General features: G+C 44.2%; 1 pseudogene, besides 6 other annotated features; it reads left to right on the forward strand.

Moving 5' to 3' along the window:
- Positions 3,176-3,305: a silencer, noted in NCBI's record as "silent region_18235". NCBI's record gives its function as "represses an Ori minimal core promoter by ATAC-STARR-seq in GM12878 lymphoblastoid cells {active_cell/tissue: GM12878}" and the evidence as "EXISTENCE:reporter gene assay evidence [ECO:0000049][PMID:35858748]".
- Positions 9,949-11,148: an enhancer, noted in NCBI's record as "MED14-independent group 3 enhancer chr7:70300982-70302181 (GRCh37/hg19 assembly coordinates)". NCBI's record gives its function as "activates an origin of replication core promoter dependent on BRD2, BRD4, P300/CBP and CDK7 cofactors, and independent of MED14, by STARR-seq in HCT116 cells {active_cell/tissue: HCT116}" and the evidence as "EXISTENCE:reporter gene assay evidence [ECO:0000049][PMID:35650434]".
- Positions 9,949-11,442: a biological region, named in NCBI's record as "MED14-independent group 3 enhancer GRCh37_chr7:70300982-70302181".
- Positions 10,441-10,941: an enhancer, noted in NCBI's record as "H3K27ac hESC enhancer chr7:70301474-70301974 (GRCh37/hg19 assembly coordinates)". NCBI's record gives its function as "activates a minimal SCP1, AML or CMV promoter by ChIP-STARR-seq in primed H9 embryonic stem cells {active_cell/tissue: H9 hESC(primed)}" and the evidence as "EXISTENCE:reporter gene assay evidence [ECO:0000049][PMID:30033119]".
- Positions 10,942-11,442: an enhancer, noted in NCBI's record as "H3K27ac hESC enhancer chr7:70301975-70302475 (GRCh37/hg19 assembly coordinates)". NCBI's record gives its function as "activates a minimal SCP1, AML or CMV promoter by ChIP-STARR-seq in primed H9 embryonic stem cells {active_cell/tissue: H9 hESC(primed)}" and the evidence as "EXISTENCE:reporter gene assay evidence [ECO:0000049][PMID:30033119]".
- On the forward strand, positions 11,695-19,308 carry LOC100967223 (neuroepithelial cell transforming 1 pseudogene; annotated as a pseudogene).
- Positions 12,236-12,988: an enhancer, noted in NCBI's record as "H3K27ac-H3K4me1 hESC enhancer chr7:70303269-70304021 (GRCh37/hg19 assembly coordinates)". NCBI's record gives its function as "activates a minimal SCP1, AML or CMV promoter by ChIP-STARR-seq in naive H9 embryonic stem cells {active_cell/tissue: H9 hESC(naive)}" and the evidence as "EXISTENCE:reporter gene assay evidence [ECO:0000049][PMID:30033119]".

Raw genomic sequence — 27,231 nt, forward strand, 5'->3', positions numbered from 1 at the left:
GGCACCATGTTTGTACAGTCTGCAGACCCACGAGCCAAATAAACCTTTTCTTTATAAGTTACCCAGTCTCAGGTATTCCTTTATAGCAATGCAAAATAGACTAATACACCACCCTAACTAAATGGTCTGCTCCTTCCCCCAAACGCACAGAACACACAGCCACTTCCTTTCTCTTTCCCTGCTGTCTCTTCCCTTTGGCACAATTACCACTTAGTGTACTACGTATTTTGTCTAACAACATCTTGTTCATTGACTGATTTTCCTCTCTAAATCTAAGCTCTACAAGGACAGAAGTTTTGCCTCCCCCCTCCCACTGTTTTGTCCTCAACACTTACAACAGTGCCTGGCACATAATAGGTGCTCAGAAAAAAATGGTCAAATTCATCATCGTAAGGATGATTTTGATCTGATATGTGAAACTCCTTTCCTCTCCTCAATAATTTTTTTTTGATTGGGTCTTGATCTGTCACCCAGACTGGAGTGCAGTGGCACAATCTCAGCTCACTGCAACCTCCACCTTCCAGATTCAAGCAATTCTCTTGCCTCAGCCTCCCAAGTAGCTGAGATTACAGGCACGCACCACCACATGTGGCTAATTTTTGTATTTTTTGTAGAGACAGGATTCAACATGTTGCCAGGCTGGTCTTGAATTCCTGGGCTCAAGCAATCCTCCCGCCTCAGCCACTCAAAGTGCTGGGATTGCAGGCATGAGCCTCCACACCCAGCCTCAATAAGAAGTTTTGAAATGAAATTTACATAACATAAATGAACCATTTGAAAGTGTACAGTTCAGTGACATTCAGTACATTCACAACTTTGTGCAGCCACCACCTCTATGATTCCAAAATATTTCATCACCCTAAAAGGGGACCCTGTCCCCATTAAGCAGTCACTGCAAATCTCCTCTCTCCAGCCCCCAGCAACCATTAATCTGCTTTGCATCTATATGGGTTTGCCAATTCTGGATATTTCATATAAATATTATACATTTCACAGATGATATGTGACCTTCTTGTCTGGCTTATTTCACTTAGCATGTTTTTCTTTTTCTCTCTTTTTAAAAATAATTTCAACTGTTATTTTAAATTCAGAGGGTGCATGTGTAAGTTTGTTGCCTGGGTATATTGCACGATGTTGACGTTGGGGGTATGAATGATCCCATCACTCAGGTAGTGAGCATGGTACCCAATAGGTAGTTTTTCAATACTTGCCCCCATCTTCCTTCCACCCTCTAGTAATCCCCAGTGTCTATGGTTGCCATCTTTATGTCCATGTGAACCCAATGTTTATATCCCACTTACAAGTAAGAACATGTGCTATTTGGTTTTCTGCTCCTGCATTAATTCACTTAGGTTGATGGTCTCCAGGTGCACCCATGTTGCTGCCAAGAACATGATTTCATTCTTTTTCATGGCTGCATAGTATTCCATGGTGTTCCATGAATCTATATACCATATTCATTGTGGTATATATATATATGTATGTATGTGTATATATGTGTGTATGTATACATACAGATACACATATATACATGCGTATATACATATATACATATGTATCTGTATGTGTATATATATACACATACACATATACACACACGTATATATCTGCATATGTACACATGTATATACACACATATACACATATACATATATACATGCATATATACACATATGTATATCTGTATTTATATATACACATAGGCACACACATGTGTATATCTGTATATATACCTGTGTGTATATACACACACACACCATGGTATACTATGCAAAAAGAATGAAATCATGGTGTGTATATATCACATTTTCTTTATCCAGTCTACCATTGATGGGCACTTAAGTTGATTCCATGTCTTTGCTATTGTGAATAGTGTCACTTAGCATGTTTTCAAGGTTCATCCACATTGTAGCACATATCAACACTCCATTCCTTTTTATGGCTTGACTAATAACAACTGTGTGTATAAAGCACATTTTGTTTATCCATTATTCAGCTGCTGGGCAGACATGTGGTTGCTTCCAACTTTTGGCTGTTGTGGAAAACATGGCTATGAACATTCATGTACAAACATTTCTCTGAATACTTGTTTTCAATTCTTTTGGGGGAATCTCTTTTTTTTTTTTTTTTTTTTGAGATGGAGTCTTACTCTGTTGCCCAGGATGGAGTACAGTGGTGTGATCTCGGCTCACTGCAACCTCTGCATCCTGGGTTCAAGCGTTTCTCCTGCCTCAGCCTCCTGAGCAGCTGGGATTACAGGTGCTCACCACTGCACCCAGCTAGTTTTTGTATTTTTTTAGTGGAGATGGGTTTCACCACGTTGGCCAGGTTGATCTTGGACTCCTGACCTCAGGTGATCTGCCCGCCTCGGCCTCCCAAAGCCCTGGGATTACAGGTGTGAGCCAGCTCACCTGGCCAAAGGCATCTCTTCTTAATACTGATGTCAGGAGCCTGCACCAGCTCCTTAACAAACACTTCACTAGGAGTTAGCATTATGTGGCTGAGGGATGTGGGAGTCAACTAGCATTGGCCTCAAATTCCAGCTCCGTGCTTATAACTTGTTCTCTGAGCCTGCCATTCCTCGGCTGTCCAGTGCAAAGAGGAAAGCTGTAAGGATTAGGGTTCCTGAACACAAAGTGTCTGCAGCATTTACCCTGTGTGTGTGTGTGTGTGTGTGTGTGTGTGTGTATTTCTGTGTATGTTTTAGAGAGACAAGGTCTTGTTCTGTTGCCCAGACTGGAGTGAGTACAGTGGCGTAGCTCACTGCAGCCTCGAATTCCTGGGCTGAGGCAATCCTCTGGTTTCAGCCTCCCAAGTAGCTGGAATTCTAGGCACCTGACACCATGCTAGACAATTTTTAAAATTTTTGTGTAGAGACGGGGTCTCCCTACATGGCCCAGGCTAGTCTCAAACTCATGGCCTCAAGCAATCCTCCTGCCTCGGCCTCCCAAAGCGCTGGGATTACAAGCATGAGCCACCACGCTCAGCCGAATTTTTCCTTCTATTATTATAATTTGAAGGAGGATGATCTAATAGAAACCTTCCCTGACCTGAGCTGACACCGGTGATGTACCCCTGGATAAAGCATCTCTGGACCCATTTGCACAACTAGGACCTCAGCCCTACATCCTCATCTCAGCGCAGTTGGGATCTGAGAACATATGTAAGGGTTAGCGTGGCTGAGGCACCCCCGCAACCAAGGCTTGGGCGATGGTGTGATTGCAGGGAAGCGCCTTTGCAGAGGAACCGTCCGGGCTTCCTGCTATTGCACGGTCTGGACACCAGAGGGAGCCATGAGAACAGATTTTTAGCAGGACCCGCTGTGTGCGCTCCCGCGCAAGCCTGTTTGGATGGGAACGTGGTTTTGGGCAACCCCTGTGCAAAACCGCTGCCTCTGTTCAGGGGCATCCCTCCAGAAATGAGTGGCTTAGCTCTGAAGGTGACGATGCATGTGGGCTAGCTCTCCAGAAATCAGGCCGACTTGCTATAAACGCCCCATTCCGTCCAGCTCAATGAATGGCCTTCCTTCTTTTCTCTCCCCATTCCCTTCCTTCTCGTTCTCCCTCCTTTCCTTCCTCTGTTTTTCCTTCCTAATGTGGACAGTTGCTGCTCTCATTCGTCTGCTTCCTCTAAGCTTGCATGGTTGGCATGCACATGTTTCTTACAGTAGAGTCATTCTGAAATGCGCCTTAAACTCTTGCGAGTTCATTTCCTATTGCCATCCACAGAAACCCCAAGTTGCTACATCCGTTTGCACTCAGAGGAAGCATTCCAGGCAGTGGAGTGTTCCTAGCGACCAGCGCGGGGCTCCTCCATGGTTTCTCATTAGGGGTCGTCTCGGGCTTAGCAGGCTCACTTGCAATATGGGGGTGAATTGTGCAGAAATGCATGGGCTGTTCAAGTTGACGGGGTGGGAGTGTTTCTGTTTTTCTCTCCAGCTGTGCTGCCAAGAGCCAGGGTTGGTCCCCGGTCTCAGATTCTATGTCTGGCCCAACTCTAAGCTCCTGAGAGTCTGCCCCGGGAAAGTCACAGAACAGCGACAGGCGGGTCGCCCGGTCTGACCTCAGCCTGGTACTGAGTGCTTCTGACCCATTTCCTCGTTCACCCCTGCTGATGCCCCAGCTGCACCTCCCCCCTCCCCCACCCCACAACAGCTGTCCCAGAGCCACCAGCATCAGGTTTCCAAGTTCTACTCCCCTCCCTTCACCATCTGCTTCACAAGGCCAGGAAGCCATTATGGTCCCTCCTTCCCATCTCCCCGAACTCTGGGAAGAAACATGGTTATATTGCCCAGGACATATGAAAGATGAATTTTAAACAACACACCCAGGCTGGGTGCAGTGGCTCACGCCTGTAATCACAACACTTTGAGGGGACGCTGAGGCGGGAGGATCGCTTAAGTCCAGGAGTTTGAGACTAGCCTGGGCAACATAATGCGACTCCTGTCTCTAAGAAAATAAAATAAAATGAATAGCCAGTCATCTTTTGGGCCCAGGAGGTCAAGGCTGCAGTGAGTTGTGATTGCACCACTGCACTCCAGCCTGGGCAACAGCAAGACCCTGTATCTAAAATAAACAAAAAAGAAAAGCCATCGAGCTGACACCTTGATCTTCGACCTCACTGAGGTCCTCATGTGAGAATTCCAGCCTCCAGAACAGTGGGAAAATAGATTTCTGTTTATTTTATTTTTTTTTGAGGTGGAGTCTCGCCCTGTCACCCAGGCTGGAGTGGAGTGGCGTGATCTCTATTCACTGCAACCTCTGCCTCCCAGGTTCCAGCAATTCTCCTGCCTCAGTCTCCCGAGTAGCTGGGATTACAGGCGTGTGCCACCACACCCAGATAATTTTTTCTATTTTTAGTAAAGACAGGGTTTCACCATGTTGGCCAGGCTGGTCTCGAACTCCTGACCTCAAGTGATCCACCTGCCTCGGCCTCCCAAACTGCTGGGATTACAGGCGTGAGCCACTGTGCCCAGCCCAATTTCTGCTGTTTAGAAATACCCAGCCAGTGGAACTTGTAACAGGGGCCCCACTGACTAATACGCCCCTATGCAGGCTTGCACAGGGTGGTCAGGAATGGACTTCCAGCCCTCAGGTGACACCCATCTGCAGCCTCTAGCAAGCAGCTAGAAATCAGGAGAGATGGTCTTTTGTGAAAGATGTTGGGGTGCTATGGACGCCACACCCCTCAGGCCCTTATAAGGGGACAGAGGCGTGCTCCCTCTTGTCTCAAGCCCAGCTGGGGAGTGGGCTGCTTCTAGGACACCATGTAAAGGATTTGATATGTGTTCCTGGAGCAGGGGACCCTGTGGACTGGTGTCTATTTTTTTTTTTTTTTTTTTGACAATTTGATTCAACTTTATTATTTCTTTAGTTATTTAAACCTGAGTACTACAGCAACATTATTCTAATTTTTTATTGTGATAGAATTCACATACCATAAAATTCACCACGTTGAGGTGGGTTTTAGTACATTCATGAAGTTGTACAACTATCACCACTGTGTAATCTGGAACATTTTCATCAGCCAAGAAAAAGCCCACTCCCTCCTCCCCCTACACCCTGGCAAGCATGAATCTACTTTCTAGATTTGCCTACTCTGAACATTTTATGAGAATGGAATAATATAATATGTGTGATCGTTTGTGACTGGATGTTTTTAAGTTTTATTCATGTTGTGGCACGTATTCTTCTTATTATTTTTTTAAAGAAACAGGAGCTCACCCCATTGCTGAGGCTGGAGTGCAGTGGTGCGATGATGGCTCACTGCAGCCTCAAACTCCTGGGCTCAAGCAATCCTCCCACCTCAGCCTCCCGAATAGCTGGGACTACAGGTGTGCATCACCATGCCTGCCTAATTTTTAAATTTTCTGTGGAGACGGGGTCTTGCTCTATTGTCCAGGCTGGTCTTGAACTCCTGGGTTCAAGGGATCCTCCTACCTCTGCCTCCCAAAGTGCTAGGATTACAGGCATGAGCCACAGCACCTGGCTATGTATTAGTATTTTACTCCTTTCTATGATGGAGTAATATGGATTATTATAGTCCTTGTATAGATACAGCACACTTTGTGTATCTTTTGATCAGTTAACAGGCATTTGAATTGTTTCTGCTTTCTACCTACCATGAATAAAGCTGCTGTTATAACCATTCATATACGTGGCTCTGTGTGGACATGTGTTTTCATTTCTCTTGCATTTATATGTACAGGTAAGTGAAATTACTGGGAAACTATGTTTAGTCTTTTTTTTTTGAGAGGGATTCTCACTCTGTTGCTCAGGCTGGAGTGCAGTGGCACAATCTCGGCTCACTGCAACCTCTGCCTCCTGGGTTCAAGCCATTCTCCTGCTTCAGCCTCCCGAGTAGCTGGGATTACAGGCATCCACCACCCTGCCCGGCTAATTTTTGTATTTTTAGTAGAGACGGGGTTTCACCATGTTGGCCAGGCTGGTCTCCAACTCCTGACCTCAGGTGATCCGCCTGCCTTGGCCTCCCAAAGTGCTGTGATTACAGGAGTGAGCCACCACACCCGGCCATATGCTTAGCCTTTTTAAGGACTGCCAGATTGTTTTACAGAGTGCTCTACCATTTTATATTCCCACCAGTGACATATGAGGTTTCCAAATTTTTGCACAATTTTTGACCACACTTGTTATTGTCTTTGCCAGTAGTGGGAGTGAGGTGGGTGTGAGGTGGTATCTCGTGATTTTGATTTGAATTTCCCTAATGGACTAATAATGTTCAGCATCTTTTCATGTGTTTATTGGCCATTTATATATCTTCCTTGGAGAAATGTCTATGTCTAAATGCCCCCAGTAAGCAGATCCTTTGCATATTTTAAATATCACGGCCGGGCATAGTCACTTACACCTGTAATTCCAGCATTTTGGGAGGTTGAGGCAGGAGGATTGATTGAGTCTGGGAGTTCAAAACCAGCCTGGGCAACATAATGAGACCCCAATTCAAAATAAATAAATAAATAAGAAATAAAAAATTAGCTGGGCATGGTGACATGTACCTGTAGTCCCAGCTACTAAAGAGGCTGAGGCAGGAGGATCACTTGAGCCCAGGAATTCAAGGCTGCCACTGCACTCCAGCCTGGGCAACAGAGTGAGACCCTCTGTGAAAAAAAAATTGCATTGTCTTTTAATGATCGACCTGTAAGAGTTCTTTTTTTTTTTTTTTTGAGACGGAGTCTCGCTCTGTCACCCAGGCCGGACTGCGGACTGCAGTGGCGCAATCTCGGCTCACTGCAAGCTCCGCTTCCCGGGTTCACGCCATTCTCCTGCCTCAGCCTCCCGAGTAGCTGGGACTACAGGCGCCCGCCACCGCGCCCGGCTAATTTTTTGTATTTTTAGTAGAGACGGGGTTTCACCTTGTTAGCCAGGATGGTCTCGATCTCCTGACCTCGTGATCCACCCACCTCGGCCTCCCAAAGTGCTGGGATTACAGGCGTGAGCCACCGTGCCCGGCTGCGTAGTTCTTTTATAATGCAAATTTTCCATGAACTTTTTGAAGACCTCTCATGTATATATTCCTTGTGAAATGTGGAACTAATTTACATATTTGCCTATTTTTGGATAATTCTTATAAATCAAATCATAAACAATGTGTCATCTTTTTATATATGGCTTCTTTCACTTAAAGTCATGCTTTAGGTTTACCCACACTCTACCTTATATTACATTAGTACAGTAGTCCCTCTTTATCTGGAGTTTTGCTTTCTGGGGTTTCAATTACCTGCAGTCATCTGTGGTCTAAATATATTAAATGAAAAATTCCAACAATACACAATTCATAAGTTTCAAATACCATGCCATTGTGAGTAGTATGCTGAAGTCTCATGCAGTCCCACTCCATCCTGCCCAGGTGGTGAGTCATTCCCTGGTCCATTATATTCACACTGTAGGTGGACATTATCTGCCTATGAATCATTTAGTAGCTGGCTCAGGGATCCGATTGAAGAAAAGCATTTCAGGCTTCCACTGGGATTCTTGAAACATATCCCCCAAGGACAAAGGGGGATTACTGTACCTCATTCCTTTACTATATATATATATATAGTGTATAAATATACACTATATATATATACTATATAGTATATATAGTATATGTGTGTGTGTGTGTGTGTGTGTGTGTGTGTGTGTGTGTGTGTATATATTTTTTTTTTTTTTTGAGATGGAGTCTCGCTCTTTCGCCCAGGCTGGAGTGCAGTGGTGCAATCTTGGCTCACTGCAAGCTCCACCTCCCAGGTTCACGCCATTCTCCTGCCTCAGCCTCCCGAGTAGCTGGGACTACAGGCGCCCGCCACCACGCTCGGCTAATTTTTTGTATTTTTAGTAGAGACGGAGTTTCACCATATTAGCCAGGATGGTCTCGATCTCCTCACCTCGTGATCCGCCCACCTCAGCCTCCCGAAGTGCTAGGATTACAGGCGTAAACCACCGCGTCCGGCCTCCTTTACTATATTTTTATCCATTAATTTATATTGTGGTAAAATATATATAACATACAATCTATCATTTTAACCATGTTTGAGTCTGTAGTTCAGTGACGTTAAGTACATTCACAATGTTGTGCAATCACTATGTCCAGAACTTTTTCACCATCCCAACCAGAAACACTGTACCCAACAGACAATAACTCCTCATCCTCCCCTCCCCCTGTCCCCTGGTAACCTCTACTCTACTTACTATCTCTATGAATTTGCCTATTCTAGGTACCTTACATAAGTGGAATTATATAGTGCATTAGTTGGTTTTTGCATTGCTATAAAGAAATACCTGAGACTGGGTAATCAATAAGAAAAGAGGTGTAATTGGCTCACAGTTCTTCAGGCTGTACAGAAAGCATGGCAGTATCTGCTTCTGGGAAGGCCTCGGGGAGCTTGCAATGATGGTGGAAGGTGGGGGAGTGGGGGAGCAGGCATCTCACACAGTGAAAAGCAGGAGCAGGAGAGTGAGGGGGGTGATACAAACTTTTAAACAACCAGATCTCATGAGAATTCACTCACTGTTGCAAGGACAGTACCAAGGGCTAAATCCTCCATGAGAAAGGTCTGCTTCCATGATCCACTCACCTTCCACCAGGCCCCATCTCCAAAACTGGAAATTACAATTCAATATGAGATTTGAGTGGGGACACAGATCCAAACTATATCATATAGTGTGTGTCCTTTTGTGTCTGGCTGATTCCACTTAGCATAATGTCCTCAGGGTTCGTCCATGTTGTTCCATGGATCAGAATTTCATTTCTTTTTATGGTGAATGGTGCTGCATTGTAGGGATAGGCCACATTTTTCTTATTCATTCCTCAGTGGATGGACATTTGGGTAGTTTCCACTTCCTGGCTATCGTGACTAGTGCTGCTATGAATGTTTGGGCACATGTGTTTGTTTGAGTTCGTATTTTCAGTTCTCCAGGGCATAGCCCTAGGAGCGGAATTGCTGGACCACATAGAAATTCTGTGTCACTTTTTGAGAAACTGCCAAGCTCAGTCATCTGTTTTAATGGGCCCCCAACGCCTTCTAGCAACTCTGATTTATTCTCATTTTACATATGAAGGAAAGCCAAGGTTCAGAAACATGTCCGAGGCCACAGCTCATAAAGAACCAGCCAAGACAACAACCCAGATCTGTCTTAGGCCCACATCTGAGCTCTTTGCTCCTCCCAATGTCCCCAAGGCATGGCGTGGCTCTTTCTCTAGGTTGGACTGGGCCTGGTGCTGTGATCTCTGGGCTCCAGAGACAACTCTGTGCACAGTCCCATGTGACCTAGGACCTATCCCTCCTTCCAAATGACCCTTCCCTGAAGAAGAGGACAGGACTTTGATTCTGGCCTCCCCTCTGCCTACAGCAGAGCTTGGAGATGGTCCCATGAGAGCTATGTCATGCTTGACCCAATGATCAGGTTACCAGCCTCGTCTCCTCTCCTTCTTCCCAGGACTTGGGAAAGGGTACCCTGGCTGTCTCACCAACTGAACTACTCTGACCTGAATCCACTGTTGTTCTCACTGTCCAGAAAACAGCCCTGGCCCATTTCCTTTACCTAGAGCCCACTGGGCACACTTACAGCCTTCCTACCTCTACCAGCAGCTCCCAGTCTCTCTCATCATGGGGCAGTGAAGGGGGACTTTGAGGTCAGGAACCTCCCACTAGGAGCATCAAGCCCAGTGGACGCAGGGCCCAAGGCCAGAGCTGTTGGGAGCCTGCAGAAATGAGAATAAAAAGAAGGCCGCAAAACTGAAATGCTATGAAACACTTAATAAAAGTTACAACTTCATTAATTAAACATTCTGGTTTGTTAAATACAATTAGGTTCCCTCTTCAAACAGCTTATCCAGTTTCCCTGTTCTCCATCCTATAATTCCAAACACCCCCTTGCCTTTGTTGCACCCCAACTTGTCTGAATATGCCTAGGCATGCCTGAACTTGCTACAACCCCAGTCCACATTCCTTTCCTTATTAGGGAATAGGTTCCCTTCCTAGTACCCCCGTAAGTGACCCCCCTTCTGTCTCTTCTCACCCCCCTTATGTGCCAACCTTATCTAAGAAAGTTTAAATGTTTAGCCAATTGGGACTAATTTAGACTGTGGGGTCCAACCCTAGCCAACAGGGGAAAGACACAGCAGAAACTGTGTTAGAGATAATTAAAACCCCTGCTTTTCTTTGTTCTGGGTGCTCTCGCCGTTGGTGCATCTGTGAAACACACCCTCCTATGGGAGTAAATTGCCTTTCTGAGAGAATTTTTGTCTCAGTGCTGGTTCTTCTTTGCGGCACTGAGCATTTATTTCCAACAAATTTAGTGGCCCATATGGGGAAACTAATCCTCCCCTGGGAAAGGGTCTCTGATCGCCTCTCGTGAGGAGACACGTCCCGCTGCCTTGTTGTGGCAGCCACAGTGTGATGAATAAACCTGGACTGTCAGCAATGCAGGAAGAAAAGGCCTTCAGTTACTGGGGCAATCGGATAACTCTGTGCACAGACCAAGGTAAGAAAGGCCATGGGAGCCGGCAAAGTATTTCCTTGGTGGTCAGGACCAAGGCAAGAAAAGCTTCAGGGGCAGTGAAGTATTCTTTGGTTGGGATATACCAAGGCAAGAAAAGCCACCGGGGCGGTGAGGTATTCTTTGGTCAGGACACACCAAGGCAAGAAAAGCCGTGGGAGTCGTGAAGTATTCTTTGGTGGTCAGGTTATCTTGGAGGTTGAAAGTGTGTGAAGGTGCAAGGAATCCCCAGTAGTGGGGTTGAGCCTCCAGGAAAAGGGGTACAAGACATGTCTAATATGAGAAATTGAGCCCCCATTAACCTCCAAGAGGGAGGTGCAAAAAAAATGTCTAATATGAGAGATTGAGCCCCCATTAACTTCCAGGACGGGAAATATCCCTAGTAAAAGAAGAACTACAAAGGATCAAACACAAAAAAAAGCAACAGATAATAAAATATTGTTGTTTTATTTGGACCCAAGAACCAATCCTCAGATCCTCAGTTTTCTGGCCAAAGTTTGGGTCAAATAAGGAATAGATTTGTCAGCTTTTAGTAGAACATATTAATGACAAGAGTCCTTTCTCCCAGGAGGAAATAGATTATGCCCTATGTTGGTAGTAGTGGCCTGACCCTCTTTACCTCCTAATGACTGCAGGAAGTAAGCCACAAGCCAACTCCTCTAAGCCGCCTAACACTCCTGACCCTAACCTCCCTCCCGCTCAGGCTGAAGCAGTCTGCCTGAGCTGCAGGGCCTGCCGGAGGTGCACAAACAGTGTGAGGGGAACCTCCCCTATGCTAGGAAACTCCCAGCCCAAAGGAGGGCATCCACAGTTTCCAGTGTTACTCAGGTAGAAGTTAATGAAAATGCTTACAAAAGTGGCTCTGGCATGCAGATGGCAGAGGACAGCAAGAGGGTAAGACACACCAGACACTGCCCGGCATCCAGAGAGTGAAGGACAAAGCCCAGTCTGGTGGCAAATGGAAAGTTTAGTGTAGAAAAGGCTCTGTGTGGGACTTGCTGGCAAGATGGCCAAATAGGAACAGCTCTAGTCTGCAGCTCCCAGTGAGATCAACACAGAAAGCGGGTGATTTCTGCATTTCCAAGTGAGGTACCCAGTTCATCTCAATGGGACTGGTTGGACAGTGGGTACAGCCCACGGAGGGTGAGACGAAGCAGGGTGAGGTGTCGCCTCACCTTGGAAGTGCAAGGGGTCGGGTGATTTCCCTTTCCTAGCCAAGGGAAGCTTTGAGAGACTGGATCAGGAGGAATAGTGCAATCCGGCCCAGATACTGCACTTTTCCCATGGTCTTCACAACTGGCAGACCAGGAGATTGCCTCCATAGCCTGTCTCAGCAGGTCCCACTCCCACGGAGCCCAGCAAGCTAAGGTCCACTGGCTTGAAATTCTCGCTGCTAGCACAGCAGTCTGAGGTCGACCTGGGACACTCGAGCTTGGTGCGGGGAGGGCGTTCGCCATTGCTGAGGCTTAAGTAGGTGGTTTTACCCTCACAGTGTAAACAAAGCCCTGGGAAGTTCAAACCGGGCGGAGCCCACTGCAGCTCAACAAGGCGGCTGAAGGCACACTGCCTGTCTAGATTTCCTCCTCTCTGGGCAGGGGATCTCTGAAAAAAAGGCAGCAGCCCCAGTCTGGGACTTATAGATAAAACCCTTAGCTCCCTGGGACAGAGCACCTGGGGGAAGGGGCGGCTGTGGGCGCAGCTTCAGCAGACTTAAACGTCCCTGCCTGACAGTTCTTAAGAGAGCAGTGGATCTCCCAGCACAGTGTTCAAGGTCTGATAAGGGACAGGCTGTCTTCTCAAGTGGGTCCCTGATCCCCGTGTATCCTGCCTGGGAGACACCTCCCAGTAGGGGCCAACAGACACATCATACAAAAGAGTTCTCGCTGACATCTGGTGGGCACCCCTCTTGGATGAAGCTTCCAGAGGAAGGAACAGGCAGCAATCTTTGCTATTCTGCAGCCTCCACTGGTGATACCTGGGAAAACAGGGTCTGGAGTGGACCTCCAGCAAACTCCAGCAGACCTGCAGAAGAGGGGCCTGTTAGAAGGAAAACTAACAAAACAGAAAAGAATAGTAGCAACATCAACAAAAAGGACGTCTACTCCGAGACCCCATCTGAAGGTCACCAACATCAAAGGCCAAAGGTAGATAAATCCACGAAGATGGGGAGAAACCAGCGCAAAAAGGCTGAAAACTCCAAAAACCAGAACGCCTCTTCTCCTCCAAAGGATCACAACTCCTTGTCAGCAAGGGAACAAAACTGGATGGAGAATGAGTTTGACGAATTGACAGAAGTAGGCTTCCGAAGGTGGGTAATAACAAACTCCTCTGAGCTAAAGGAGCATGTTCTAACCCAATCCAAGGAAGCTAAGAACCTTGAGAAAAGGTTAGACAAATTGCTAACTAGAATATCCAGTTTAGAGAAGAACATAAATGACCTGATGGAGCTGAAAAACACAGCACGAGAACTTCTTGAAGCATACACAAGTATCAGTAGACGAATTGATCAAGTGGAAGAAAAGATACCAGAGATTGAAGATCAACTCAATGAAATAAAGCAAGAAAACAAGATTAGAGAAAAAAGAGTGAAAAGAAAGGAACAAAGCCTCCAAGAAATATGGGACTATGTGAAAAGGCCAAATATACATTTGATTGCTGTACCTGAAAGTGACGGGGAGAATGGAACCAAGTTGGAAAACACTCTTCAGGATATTATCCAGGAGAACCTCCCCAACCTAGCAAGGCAGGCCAACATTCAAATTCAGGAAATACAGAGAACACCACAAAGATATTCCTCAAGAAGAGCAACCCCAAGACATATAATCGTCAGATTCTCCAAGGTTGAAATGAAGGAAAAAATGTTAAGATCAGTCAGAGAGAAAGGTCAGGTTACCCACAAAGGGAAGCCCATCAGACTAACAGCAGATCTCTTGGCAGAAACCCTACAAGCCAGAAGAGAGTGGGGGCCAATATTCAACATTCTTAAAAGAATTTTCAACCCAGAATTTCCTATCCAGCCAAACTAAGCTTCATAAGTGAAGGAGAAATAAAATCCTTTACAGACAAGAAAATGCTGAGAGATTTTGTCACCACCAGGCCTGCCTTACAAGAGCTCCTGAAGGAAGCACTAAACATGGAAAGGAATGACCGGTACCAGCCATGGCAAAAAACATGCCAAATTGTAAAGACCATTGACACCATGAAGAAACTGCATCTACTAACGGGCAAAATAACCAGCTAGCGTCATAATGATGGATCAAATTCACACATAACAATATTAACCGTAAATGTAAATGGGCTAAATGCTCCAATTAAAAGACACAGACTGGCAAATTGGATAAAGAGTCAAGACCCATCAGTGTACTGTATTCAGGAAACCCATCTCATGTGCAAAGACACACATAGGCTCAAAATAAAGTGATGGAGGAATATTTACCATGCAAATGGAAAGCAAAAAAAAGCAAGGGTTGCAATCCTAGTCTCTGATAAAACAGACTTTAAGTCAACAAAAATCAAAAGAGACAAAGAAGGGTATTACATAAGGATAAGGGGATCAATGCAACAAGAAGAGCTAACTATCCTAAATATATATGCATCCAATACAGGAGCACTCAGATTCATAAAGCAAGTTCTTAGAGCCCTACAAAGAGACTTAGACTCCCACACAATAATAGTGGGAGACTTTAACACCTCACTGTCAACACTAGACAGATCAACGAGACAGAAAATTAACAAGGATATCCAGGACTTGAATTCAGCTCTGGACCAAGCAGACCTAATAGACATCTACAGAACTCTCCACCCCAAATCAACAGAATATACATTCTTCTCAGCACCACATCGCACTTATTCTAAAAACCGATCACATAATTGGAAGTAAAATACTCCTCAGCAAATGCAAAAGAATGGAAATCTAATAAACAGTCTCTCAGACCACAGTGCAATCAAATTAGAACTCAGGATTAATAAACTCACTCAAAACTGCACAACTACATGGAAATTGAACAACCTGCTCCTGAATGACTACTGGGTAAATAACAAAATGAAGGCAGAAATAAAGATGTTCTTTGAAACCAACGAGAACAAAAACACAATGTACCAGAATATCGGGGACACATTTAAAGCAGTGTGTAGAGGGAAATTTATAGCACTAAATGTCCACAAGAGAAAGCAGGAAAGATCTAAAATCAACACCCTAACATCAAAATTAAAAGAACTAGAGAAGCAAGAGCAAACAAATTCAAAAGCTAGCAGAAGACAAGAAATAATTAAGATCAGAGGAGAACTGAAGGAGATAGAAACACGAAAAACCCTTCAAAAAATCAATGAATCCAGGAGCTTTTTTTTAAAGATCAACAAAATAGACTGCTAGCCAGACTAATAAAAAAGAAAAGAGAGAAGAATTAAATAGATGCAATAAAAAATGATAAAGGGGATATTACCACTGATCCCACAGAAATACAAACTACCATCAAAGAATATTATAAACACTTCTATACAAATTAACTAGGAAATCTAGAAGAAATGGATAAATTCCTGGACACATACACCCTCCCAAGACTAAACCAGGAAGAAGTCGAATCCCTGAATAGACCAATAATAAGTTCTGAAATTGAGGCAGTAATTAATAGCCTACCAACCAAAAAAAGTCCAGGACCACATGGATTCACAGCTGAATTCTACCAGAGGTACAAAGAGGAGCTGGTACCATTCCTTCTGAAACTATTCCAAACAATAGAAAATGAGAGAATCCTAACTCATTTTATGAGGCTGGCATCATCCTGATACCAAAACCTGGCAGAGACACAACAAAAAAAGAAAATTTTAGGCCAATATCCCTGATGAACATCGATGCAAAAATCCTCAATAAAATACTGGCAAACTGAATCCAGCAGCACATCAAAAAGCTTTATCCACCATCAAGTCAGCTTCATACCTGGGATGCAAGGCTGGTTCAACATACACAAATCAGTAAATGTAATCCATCACATAAACAGAACGAACAACAAAAACCACATGATTATCTCAATTGATGCAGAAAAGTCATTTGACAAAATTCAACAGCCCTTCATGCTAAAAACTCTCAATAAACTAGGTATTGAGGGAATGTATCTCAACATAATAAGAGCTACTTATGAAAAACACACAGCCAATATCATACTGAATGGGCAAAAACTGGAAGCATTCCCTTTGAAAACGGGCACAAGACAAGGATGCCCTCTCTCACCACTCCTATTCAACATAGTATTGGAAGTTATGGCCAGGGCAATCAGGCAGGAGAAAAAAATAAAGGGTATTCGATTAGGAAAAGAGGAAGTCAAATTGTCTCTGTTTGCAGATGATGTGATTATATACTTAGAAAACCCCATCATCTCAGCCCAAAATCTCCTTAAGCTGATAAGCAACTTCAGCAAAGTCTCAGGATACAAAATCAATGTTCAAAAATCACAAGCATTCCTAACACCAATAACTAGACAAACAGAGAGCCAAATCATGAGTGAACTCCCATTCACAATTGCTACAAGAAGAATAAAATACCTAGGAATACAACTTACAAGTGATGTGAAGGACCTCTTCAAGGAGAACTATAAACCACTGCTCAAGGAAATAAGAGAGGACACGAATGAAAAAACGTTCCATGTTCATGGATAGGAAGAATGGATATCATGAAAATGGCCATACTGCCCAAAATAATTTACAGATTAAATGCTATCCCCATCAAGCTACCATTGACTTTCTTCACAGAATTGGAAAAAACTACTTTAAATTTCATATGGAACCAAAAATGAGACAGCATAGCCAAGACAACCTAAGCAAAAAGAACAAAGCTGGAGGCATCACGCTACCTGACTTCAAACTATATTACAAGACTGCAGTAACAAAAACAGCATGGTACTGGTACCAAAACAGATATATAGACCAATGGAACAGAACAGAGGCCTCAGAAATAACACCACACATCTACAACCATCTGATCTTTGACAAAGCTGACAAAAACAAGCAATAGGGAAAGGATTCCCTATTTAATAAATAGTGCTGGGAAAACTGGCTAGCCGTATGCAGAAAACCGAAACTGGATCCCTTCCTCACACCTTATACAAAAATTAACTCAAGATGGATTAAAGACTTAAATGTAAGACCTAAAACCATAAAAATTCTAGAAAAAACCCTAGGCAATACCATTCAGGACATAGGCATGGGCAAAGACTTCATGACTAAAACACCAAAAGCAATGGCAACAAAAGCCAAAATAGTCAAATGGGATCTAATTAAAATAAAAAGCTTCTGCACAGCAAAAGAAACTATCATCAGAGTGAACAGGCAACCTACAGAATGGGAGAAAATTGTTGCAATCTATCCATCTGACAAAGGGCTAATACCCAGAATCTACAAAGAACTTAAACAAATTTACAAGAAAAAAACAACCCCATCAAAAAGTAGGCAAAGAATATGAACAGACATTTCTCAAAAGATGACATTTATGCAGCTAACAAACATATGAGCAAATGCTCATCATCACTTGTCATTAGAGAAATGCAAATTAAAACCACAATGAGATACCATCTCACACCAGTTAGAATGGCGATCATTAAAAAGTGAGGAAACAACAGATGCTGGAGAGAATGTGGAGAAATAGGAATGCTTTTACACTGTTGGTGAGAGTGTAAATTAGTTCAACCATTGTGGAAGACAGTGTGGTGATTCCTCAAGGATCTAGAACCAGAAATACCATTTGACCCAGCAATCCCATTACTGGGTCTATACCCAAAGGATTATAAATCATTCTACTATAAAGACACATGCACATGTATGTATATTGCAGCACTGTTCACAATAGCAAAGACTTGGAACCAACCCAAATGCCCATCAGTGATAGACTGGATAAAGAAAATGTGGCACATATACACCATGGAATACTATGCAGCCATAAACAAGGATGAGTTCCTGTTCTTTGCAGGGACATGGCTGAAGCTGGAAACCATCATTCTCAGCAAACTAACACAAGAACAGAAAACTGAACACTGCATGTTCTCATTCCTAAGTGGGAGTTGAACAATGAAAACACATGGACACAGGGAGGGGAACATCACACACTGGGGCCTGTCAGAGGGTGGGGGTAGGGGAGGGATAGCATTAGGAGAAATACCTAATGTAGATGACAGGTTGATGGGTGGAGCAAACTACCATGGCACATGTATACCTACGTAATAAATCTGCACATTCTGCACATGTACCCCAGAACTTAAAGTATAATAAAAAAAAAAAAAGAAAAGGCTCTGTGTGTTAACTGGTGGAAAGACTGTTTATAAATGTATACAGTTTTGTTTTCTTGTAATAAAAGCCTCATAAGTTTACTTTATACCAGTTGTAACATTCTCATTTTTTTGGTTGTTCTTTTTTCTTTTTTTAATGGCAGCTAAAGATATACAGATTACTGTTAAATTGCAGTCCTTTTTAAAAAAATATTTTCTTGAATTATTTAGAACATGCAAGCCTGGTATTTTTAATCAAATAAAATATTTATAAAATAGGTGTTCTCTTATTCTGGATTCATCCTGGTTTTCTAATACCAATTGTAATATTTACAATATTCACCAAAACTTAGAATTTTGCAAATACTGGAATTCTACCAGTGCTTCTTTAATAAGCCTTGCATGTATAATTTGAAATTTTAACACTGGCACTCAAAATCTACATGAAATGTATGTTTAAAGTATTTCAAAATTTACATTGAAACATAACTTCATTAGAAAATAAACTATAAGCCTAAGTAGGTTTTTAATTTTATCAACTGGAATGCTATTAGTCGGTTTTTCACCATACATTCCTCATTTTACATTCATTTAACCTGCCAATTAATTTATTTTATTGTAGTTTTTAGCATTTGCTTTTTTTTAATGCTTTTTCAAATTAGCAAGTCTTTTTCTTTCTGATTAAAAATGTGTGTGTGTATATATATGTGTGTATATATGTGTATATGTGTGTGTGTGTGTATATATATATACACACACACATATATTTAATCACACCAACTTTACCAAGTAAAACCAAGCCACACTGATTTTAAGCCAATTAAGAAAACTGCCATTTTTAAAGTGTAGCATTTCAGGGTAAAGACCCATGAAATGACTTAGTGTATTCTAGACTACCAAAAGAAAACCACTTCAAAAATTTTGTTAAAAGTTTTAGTGTTGTCTGAAAAGCAAGAAGGAAAATGGTAGTAAAAGAAGAAGAGAGGAAAAGACAGCAGTTTTGTCTGGTTGTGCCAGACATTTCACAAGTGTAAAAGGAAATAGGAGAAGCTCAAAAGTATATGTAAGAAGAGAGGAAAGAGAAACTGGGAGAGATAGGAAGGGAGAAAGTGAGAAGGGAAATCAGAAAGAGAAAGGGGAGGAAACGGCAGATGTGGAGAGCCAGAGAGAGAGAGAAAGAGGACGAGACTGAGCATGAGGGAGAGAGGAAACAGGGAGGGGGAGAGAGGAAACAGGGAGGGGGAGAGAGGAAACAGGGAGGGGGAGAGAGGAAACAGGGAGGGGGAGAGAGGAAACGGGGAGGGGGAGAGAGGAAACGGGGAGGGGGAGAGAGGAAACGGGGGGGAGGGAGAGGGAGGGGGAGGGAGGGGGAGGGAGGGGGAGGGAGGGGGAGGGAGGGGGAGGGAGGGGGAGGGAGGGGGAGGGGAGGAGACGGGGAGGGAGGGAGCACGAGAGAGAGAGACAGACAGACAGAGAGAGAGGGAGAGAAATGGGGGAGAGAGGGAGGGGGAGAGAGAGAAAATAAGATAAAGACTTAAGGAAGAGACCCTTCCTTAAGAAGGCTGTGGCCAGGTGCGGTGGCTCACGCCTGTAATCCCAGCACTTTGGGAGGCCGAGGCGGGTGGATCACCTGAGGTCAGGAGTCTCTACTAAAAAAAATACAAAATTAGCTGGGTGTGGTGGTGCATGCCTGTAATCCCAGCTACTTGGGAGGCTGAGGCAGGAGAATTGCTTGAACCTGCGGGGCGGAGGTTGCCGTGAGCCGAGATTGCGTCATTGCACTCCAGCCTGGGCAACAAGAGCGAAACTCCGTCTCAAAAAAAAAAACAAAACGGCTGTACCTCCCTAAAATCTTACCTTCATTTTACTAAAGGAACTACACCTGTTATTCCTATAGCTAATGCTAAAATCAAGGTGTCCGTTATAAAAGATCTAAAACAAACCCTAGCAATTGAGACAGGATACCGAGATACAAATGCCTGGCTGGAACGGATTAAATATTTCGTCTGCACCCTAAGCAAAAGCTTGTGCACACGGTAGACCAGAGGCCCAGATCGTCTCCTCTCCACTTAGTCTCCCCGCCGACCGGGCATGAGCTGTATGTATGGTAACTCTTTTTCAAGACCCCCACAGCCTGGGAAGACAAATCGTGCCAAGCTCTTCCTCTGCTGTTCCCAGTTCAACACCCTGCGGGTCAGGCCCCAAGGGCCATCCAGCCTCCGCCTTCCAATGCCAAAGTTTACCTCGTGTTTCTCACAACGGGGAAAACTTAGCGTTCCTCGGAGACTTCAGTCTGGCAATAAAAGATTTAGACAGAAACAGAAAGATTGGAGAGAGAGAGAGAGAGAGGAAGAGAATGAGAGACTGGAAGAAACAGATTAAAGAGAGATACAGAAGGTGAATCTGGGGAGAGAGATAGTGTAAAAGGAAGAGAGAGGAAGAGACGAGACAGACAAAAAGCGCGAGCAAGAAGGTGAGAGAAATTAAGAACTATGAAAGACAGCAGCTAGGAGACAAAGGAGGCAGAAGACTGCCTGGGTGCCACAGCACCCACACCGTCCTCTTGCCCCCTGTCATTGCGACCCCAGAGCTGGTCCTTGATGGAGGAGAGCCGACCTCGCAGCAGCCTGAGCCTGGCCAGCAGCGCCTCCACCATCTCCCCGGTCAGCAGCCTAAGTCCCAAGCTATATGTAATACAGTTCTCAGAGTCTATGGAGGTATAAAAATTTATGCTTTGGCAAAACAAGTTACAGATAGTTGCCTAATATGTAAAAACAAAAACGAACAAAAAAACTAATAAGCAAACTCTAAGAAGGTCGCCCCTTAAAGGAAAGGACTCAGGATTAAGGCCGTTCCAAAGTGTCCAAATTGATTACACTGAAATGCCCCAAATAGGTCACCTAAAGTACCTACTAGTGATAGTAGATCACCTTACTCACTGGGTAGAGACTATTCCCTTTTCAAGTGCAACTGCCAGTAATGTAGTGAAAGCATTAATTAAAAATATTCTACCCAGGTTTAGATGAATAGAAAATATTGATTCAGATAATAAGACTCATTTCACTGCACGTCATTAAGAAATTAGCCCAAGTACTAAACATAACATAGGAATACCATACTCCCTGGCACTCACCTTCGTCAGGAAGAGCATAGAGAATGAACCAAACTCTGAGGAGCCACTTAAACAAATTAGTTTTAGAGACTCCTCCCCATTGCCTTGTTAAGGGTCAGAACCGCCCCTCGGAAAGATGTCAGCGTATCCCCTTATAAAATAATATGTAAGTTGCCTTATTTACACTCTACTGCTGACATTCCTACGTTGAAAACAAAAGATCAGTTTCTCAAAAACTATATACTTGGTCTATCTTCCACTTTCTCTTCCCTCAGAGCTGAAGACCGCCTTTTAGTACAGCTGCCACCCCTGGAGCTCCCAGCACACCTGCGTCAACCTGGAAATCACGTTCTGATTAAGAGCTGGAGAGAAGGAAAACTCGAACCGGCTTAGGAAGGACCCTACCTAGTGCTTCCAACTACTGAGACCACAGTATGAACAGCAGAAAGAGGGTGGACTCACCATACTTGAGTCAAGAAAGTGCCACCATCTTTAGAGTCATAGACCATTGTTCTAGGATCAAGTCCCAACAAACTAAAGCTAAGGAAAGTCTCACCCTCTTATATCTCTTTTATTGTCTCTGCTTCTTCCCTCACTCCACTGTCAGCGCCCCCCACCAAAACTATTGTGTTTGATGCTTAGCCATACCCTGTGGAGACCTACAAAGTCAAAGGCAACCAGCCTCTTCAGAAAAGTATCTTTGCCCTTAGTACTCACCCCACTCTCAACATAATCCTTGTAAAATTCCTTATCATTGGCTACCTTGCTATTCCCGGTATGATATTCTCTGGACCACTCAGTCCCAGGGCTAGGCTTCCTCAGAAGGCTGTACCTCCCTAAAACCTTACCTTCATTTTACTAAAGGAACTACACCTGTTATTCCTATAACTAATGAGAAAACCAAGGTGTCCATTATAAAAGTAAAAGATCTAAAACAAACCCTAGCAATGGAGACAGGATACCGAAGTACAAATGCCTGGCTGGAATGGATTAAATATTCCATCCGCACCCTAAGCAAAAGCGACTGTTACACTTGTGTGCACGGTAGACCAGAGGCCCAGATCATCCCCTTTCAACTTAGTCTCCCCACTGACCAGGCACGAGCTGTAAGGTAGCTCTTTTTCAAGACCCCCACAGCCTGGGAAGACAAATCGGGCCAAGCTCTTTCTCTGCTGTTCCCAGAAGTTTCGACATCCTGTGGGTCAGGCCCCAGAGGCCATCCAGCCTCCGCCTTCCAATGCCAAGTTTACCTCATGTCTCTGATGACAGGGAAGAAACGTAGCATTCCTTGGAGACTTAAAGGGATGCAAAGAGCTTAGGCCCTTCCAATAGCTTACCCATCAGTTTGCCCTTAGCCATCCCCAAGCGGATATATGGTGGTATTGTGGTGGACCCCTGCTGGACGCTCTGCCAAGCAAATGGAGCGAAACTTGTACTCTAATTCTATTGGCTATCTCTTTCACCCTTGTATTTCATCAACCTGAGAAAGTAAAAGCAAAGGTCTGTAAGCCGAGAGAGACCCCTTGTGAGTCTTTTGATCCTCAGGTTTATATAAATGCCATCGAGTTTCCATGAGGAGCACCAAATAAATTTAAAGCTCAAAACCAGTTAGTTGCAGAGTTTGAATTGCATTGTTCTGGTGGGTAACTATTAATAAAAATGTAAATTAGATAAATTACATTGACTACAACCAGCAACGATTTGTTAACTATACCAAAGATGCCATTAAAGGAATAGCTGAACAATTAGGATTCACCAGTCAAATGGCCTGGGAAAATAGGATGGCATTAGCCATGATACTATCAGAGAAAGGTGACGTTTGTGTCGTGATTGGAACCCAGTATTGTACTTTCATCCCTAAAAACACAGCCCCCAGTGGACAATCACAAAGGCCGTGTAGGGCCTTGCCTCTCTGTCAGATGAATTGGCTAAAAACTCCAGAATAGATGATCCCTTTACAAGCCTCAGGGGAAAGTGGTTCGGTGGGTGGAAAAAGCTAGTAACTTCAATAGTTACCTCCCTGGTAATTGTTGTAAGTGTACTAATTCTTGTTGGATGTTGCCTCAGATCCTGTGCTCAAGGATGAATACAAAAACTCATTGAGACAACCCTCACTTTCCTCAATTCTCCCCCACTTTATTCAGATAAGCTCTTTCTTTCAGAAGATCAAGCAGAACAACAAAGTTAAAACATGTTAGAAAGGTTTGAAGAGGAAAGATTATAAAAATCAAAAGGGGTGAAATTGTTAAATACAGTTAAGTTCTCTCTTTAAACAGCTTATCCAAATACCCCCTTGCCTTTGCTATACCCCAACTTGTCTGTACATGCCTAGGCATGCCTGAACTTGCTACAACCCCAGTCCACATTCCTTTCCTTATTAGGTAATAGGTTACCTTCCTAGTCCCCCTGTAAGTGACCCCCCTTCTCTCTCTTCTCACCCCTCTTACTTGCCTACCTTATATAAGAAAGTTTAACTGTTTAGCCAATAGGGACTAGTTTAGACTGTGGGTTCCAACCCTAGCCAACAGAGGAAAGACATAGAAGCAGAGGCTGTGTTAGAGATAATAAAAACCCATGGTTTCCTTTGTTCTGGGTACTCTCGCCATTGCTCCATTCACGAGATGCACCTTCCTATAGGAGCAAATTGCCTTGCTGAGAAATCCTTTGTCTCAGTGCTGGTTCTTCTTTGCAGCACTGAGCATTTTTTTTCCAACATGTTTATAAACATCTTGTTACTGCTGGATGACAATTTTTATTTATTTATTTATTTTTATTTTTTTTGAGACAGAGTCTCGTTCTGTCACCCAGGCTGGAGTGCAGTGGCATGATCTTGGCTCACTGCAAGCTCTGCCTCCCAGATTTGCACCACTCTCCTGCCTCAGCCTCCCAAGTAGCTGGGACTAGAGGCGCCACCACCATACCTGGCTAATTTTTTGTATTTTTTTAGTAGAGATGGGATTTCACTGTGTTAGCCAGGATGGTCTCGATCTCCTGACCTCGTGATCCACCCACCTCGGCCTCCCAAAGTGCTGGGATTACAGGCCTGAGCCACTACACCCAGCCAACAATTTTTATTTTTATTTTTTATTTTTATTTTTCAGATGGAGTCTCACTCTGTCGCCGAGGCTGGAGTGCAGTGGTGCGATGTTGGCTCACTGCAACCTCCACCTCCCAGGTTCAAGTGATTCTCCTGCCTCAGCCTCTCAAGTAGCTGAGATGACAGGTGCCCACCACCACACCTGGCTAATTTTTGTATTTTTAGTAGTGACAGGGTTTTGCCATGTTAGCCAGGCTGGTCTTGAACTCCTGGCCTCAGGTGATCCGACCCCTTTGGCCTCCCAAAGTGCTGGAATTACAGGCATGAGCCACCACACCTGGCTGGATGACAATTTTTAAGCTTAATGTTTCTCGCTCTGTAGAATTCACTGGATATGCACAGTGATATGGAGGAGAAATCCTGGCTTTCCAAAATGTACGATAAAAATGATCTTTCATGTTGGAATGTGGGTGCCTTTGAATATGCTCAGAATGTTAGGTGATGAGACCTTTGGGAGTCAGAGTACCCAAGCCTTGGAAAGTCAGGGGACACACTGAGGCCCGAAAAATCTCAGGAAAGAGCTGTAGATGCAGCACAGACCCCGTTTGTGCCCTCTGCAGACTCAGTTTCCCAGAGAGGAGGGATGGGAATGCCTGCAGGGTGCCTGGTCAGCTCCAGACCTAAACTCCAGAGCCTGTAGCTATTAGCAGAGGGCGGCTTTGAGGGGATCCCATACGCAGTTTCTAGCATCTCTGGTTGCCTCACCAGAGACTGAGGCTCTGGCTTTGTACTTTAAAATTTTTCAGTTCAGAGTCACAAACCTTTACAAAGTGCCTACTCGGTGCCCGGTTTTATGGTAGACACCAGAGATTGGGAGCTCATGGGTTGAGGGAATGCTGCATGCCAGTACAAATGATAAGTGCTGGGATGGAGCCTGGAATGGAACTGGCCGAGTCAACACCTGCAGCAAACCCCTGGTGGTGTTCTGGGAGTTAGAAGACCACACAACGTCAGGACACATTTGCACTTTAGGTGAATTAATCCAGCCATGCCTGCGGGAGATGCATTTATGAGACTGCAGGCAGGGTGGCCTGTTAAGAAGATAGTGGAATTGTCAACGTAAGACGCCAAACCAAGGACTTGCAGAAAGGATCGTGGATTAGCTTCCTGGGTGGTCATAAAAATCACAGGCATACTTTGGCGATATTCATGGCAATAAAGTGAATATTGCAATAAAGTGAGCCACACAAATTGTGGGGTTCCACAGTGCATATTAAATGTTATGTTTATACTATCATGTAGTCTATTAAGGGTGCAATAGCCTTATGCCTAAAGAAAAACAATGCATAGTTTGGGCCTGGTGGCACACACCTGTAATCCCAGTACTTTGGGAGGCAGAGGAAGGATCACTTGAGGCCGGGAGTTTGAGACCAGCCTGAGCAACATAGGGAGATAGGGAAATTCTGTCGCTACAAAAAATTTAAAAATTACTTGGATATAGTGGTGAGTGCCTATAGTCCTAGCTACTCAGGAGGCTGAGGTGGGAGGATTGCTTGAGCCAGGGACTTGAGGCTGTGGTGAGCTATGATTGCACCATTGCCTGGGTGACAGTGAAACCCTGTCTCTAAAAAACCGCAGAAACCAAAAATTATATGCATACATTAATTTAAAAATATCTTATTGCTAAAAAAAATGCTCACAATCATCTGGGTCTTTTTTTTTTTTTTTTTTTTTTTTTTGAGGCAGAGTCTTGCTCTGTCTCCCAGGCTGGAGTGCAGTGGCGTGATCTCGGCTCACTGCTCTCTCAACCTCCTGGGCCAAGCAATTCTTCTGCCTCTGCCTCTTGAGTAGCTGAGATTACAGGTGCTCACCACCACGCCCAGCTAATTTTTTTGTATTTTTACTAGAGATGGGGTTTCACCATCTTGGCCAGGCTGGTCTTGAACTCCTGACCTTGTGATCCACCTGCCTCGGCCTCCCAAAATGTTGGGATTACAGGCGTGAGCCACCCCTCCCGGCCTTATCTGGGTCTTTAGTGAGTCACAATCTTTTCACTGGTGAAGGGTCTTGCCTTGATGTAGCTGGCTGCTGATGGATCAGGGTGGTGGTTGCTGAAGGTTAGGGTGGCTGTGGCAATTTCTTAAGATAAGATGGAAATGAAGTTTGCCTCATTGATTGACTGTTTCTTTCACAAAAGATTTCTCTGTAACCTGTGATGCTATTTGGTAGCATTTTGCCCAGAGTAGAACTTCTTCCAAAGTTGGAGCCAGGGCTCACAAACTCTGCCGCTGCTTAATCAACTCAGTTTATGGAATATTCTAAATCCTTTGTTGCCATTTCAACAGTGTTCACAGCATCTTCACCAGGAGCGAATTCCATCTTAAGAGACCCCTTTCTCTGCTCATCCATAAGAAGCAACTCCTCATCTGTTCACGTTTGATCATGAGATTGTAGCAATTCAGTCCCATCGGCAGGCTCCACTTCTAATTCTAGTTCTCTTGCTATTTCTACCACATCTGCAGTTCCTTCCTCCACTGAAGCCTTGAAACCCTCAAACTCATCCATGAGGGTTGGAATCCACTTCTTCCACACTCCTGTTCATGTTGATATTTTGACCTCCTCCCATGAATCCATGAATTCACAAATGTTCTTTTTTTTTGGACAGAGTCTTGCTCTGTCACCAGGCTGGAGTGCAGTGGCACAATCTTAGCTCACTGCAACCTCTGCCTCACGGGTTCAAGCAATTCTCCTGCCTCAGCCTCCCGAGTAGCTGGGACTACAGGCGAGTGCCACCACGCCCAGCCAATTTTTGTACTTTTAGTAGAGACG

This window comes from Homo sapiens, chromosome 7 (genome assembly GCF_000001405.40).
Source record: "Homo sapiens chromosome 7, GRCh38.p14 Primary Assembly".
Classification (NCBI taxonomy): domain Eukaryota; kingdom Metazoa; phylum Chordata; class Mammalia; order Primates; family Hominidae; genus Homo; species Homo sapiens.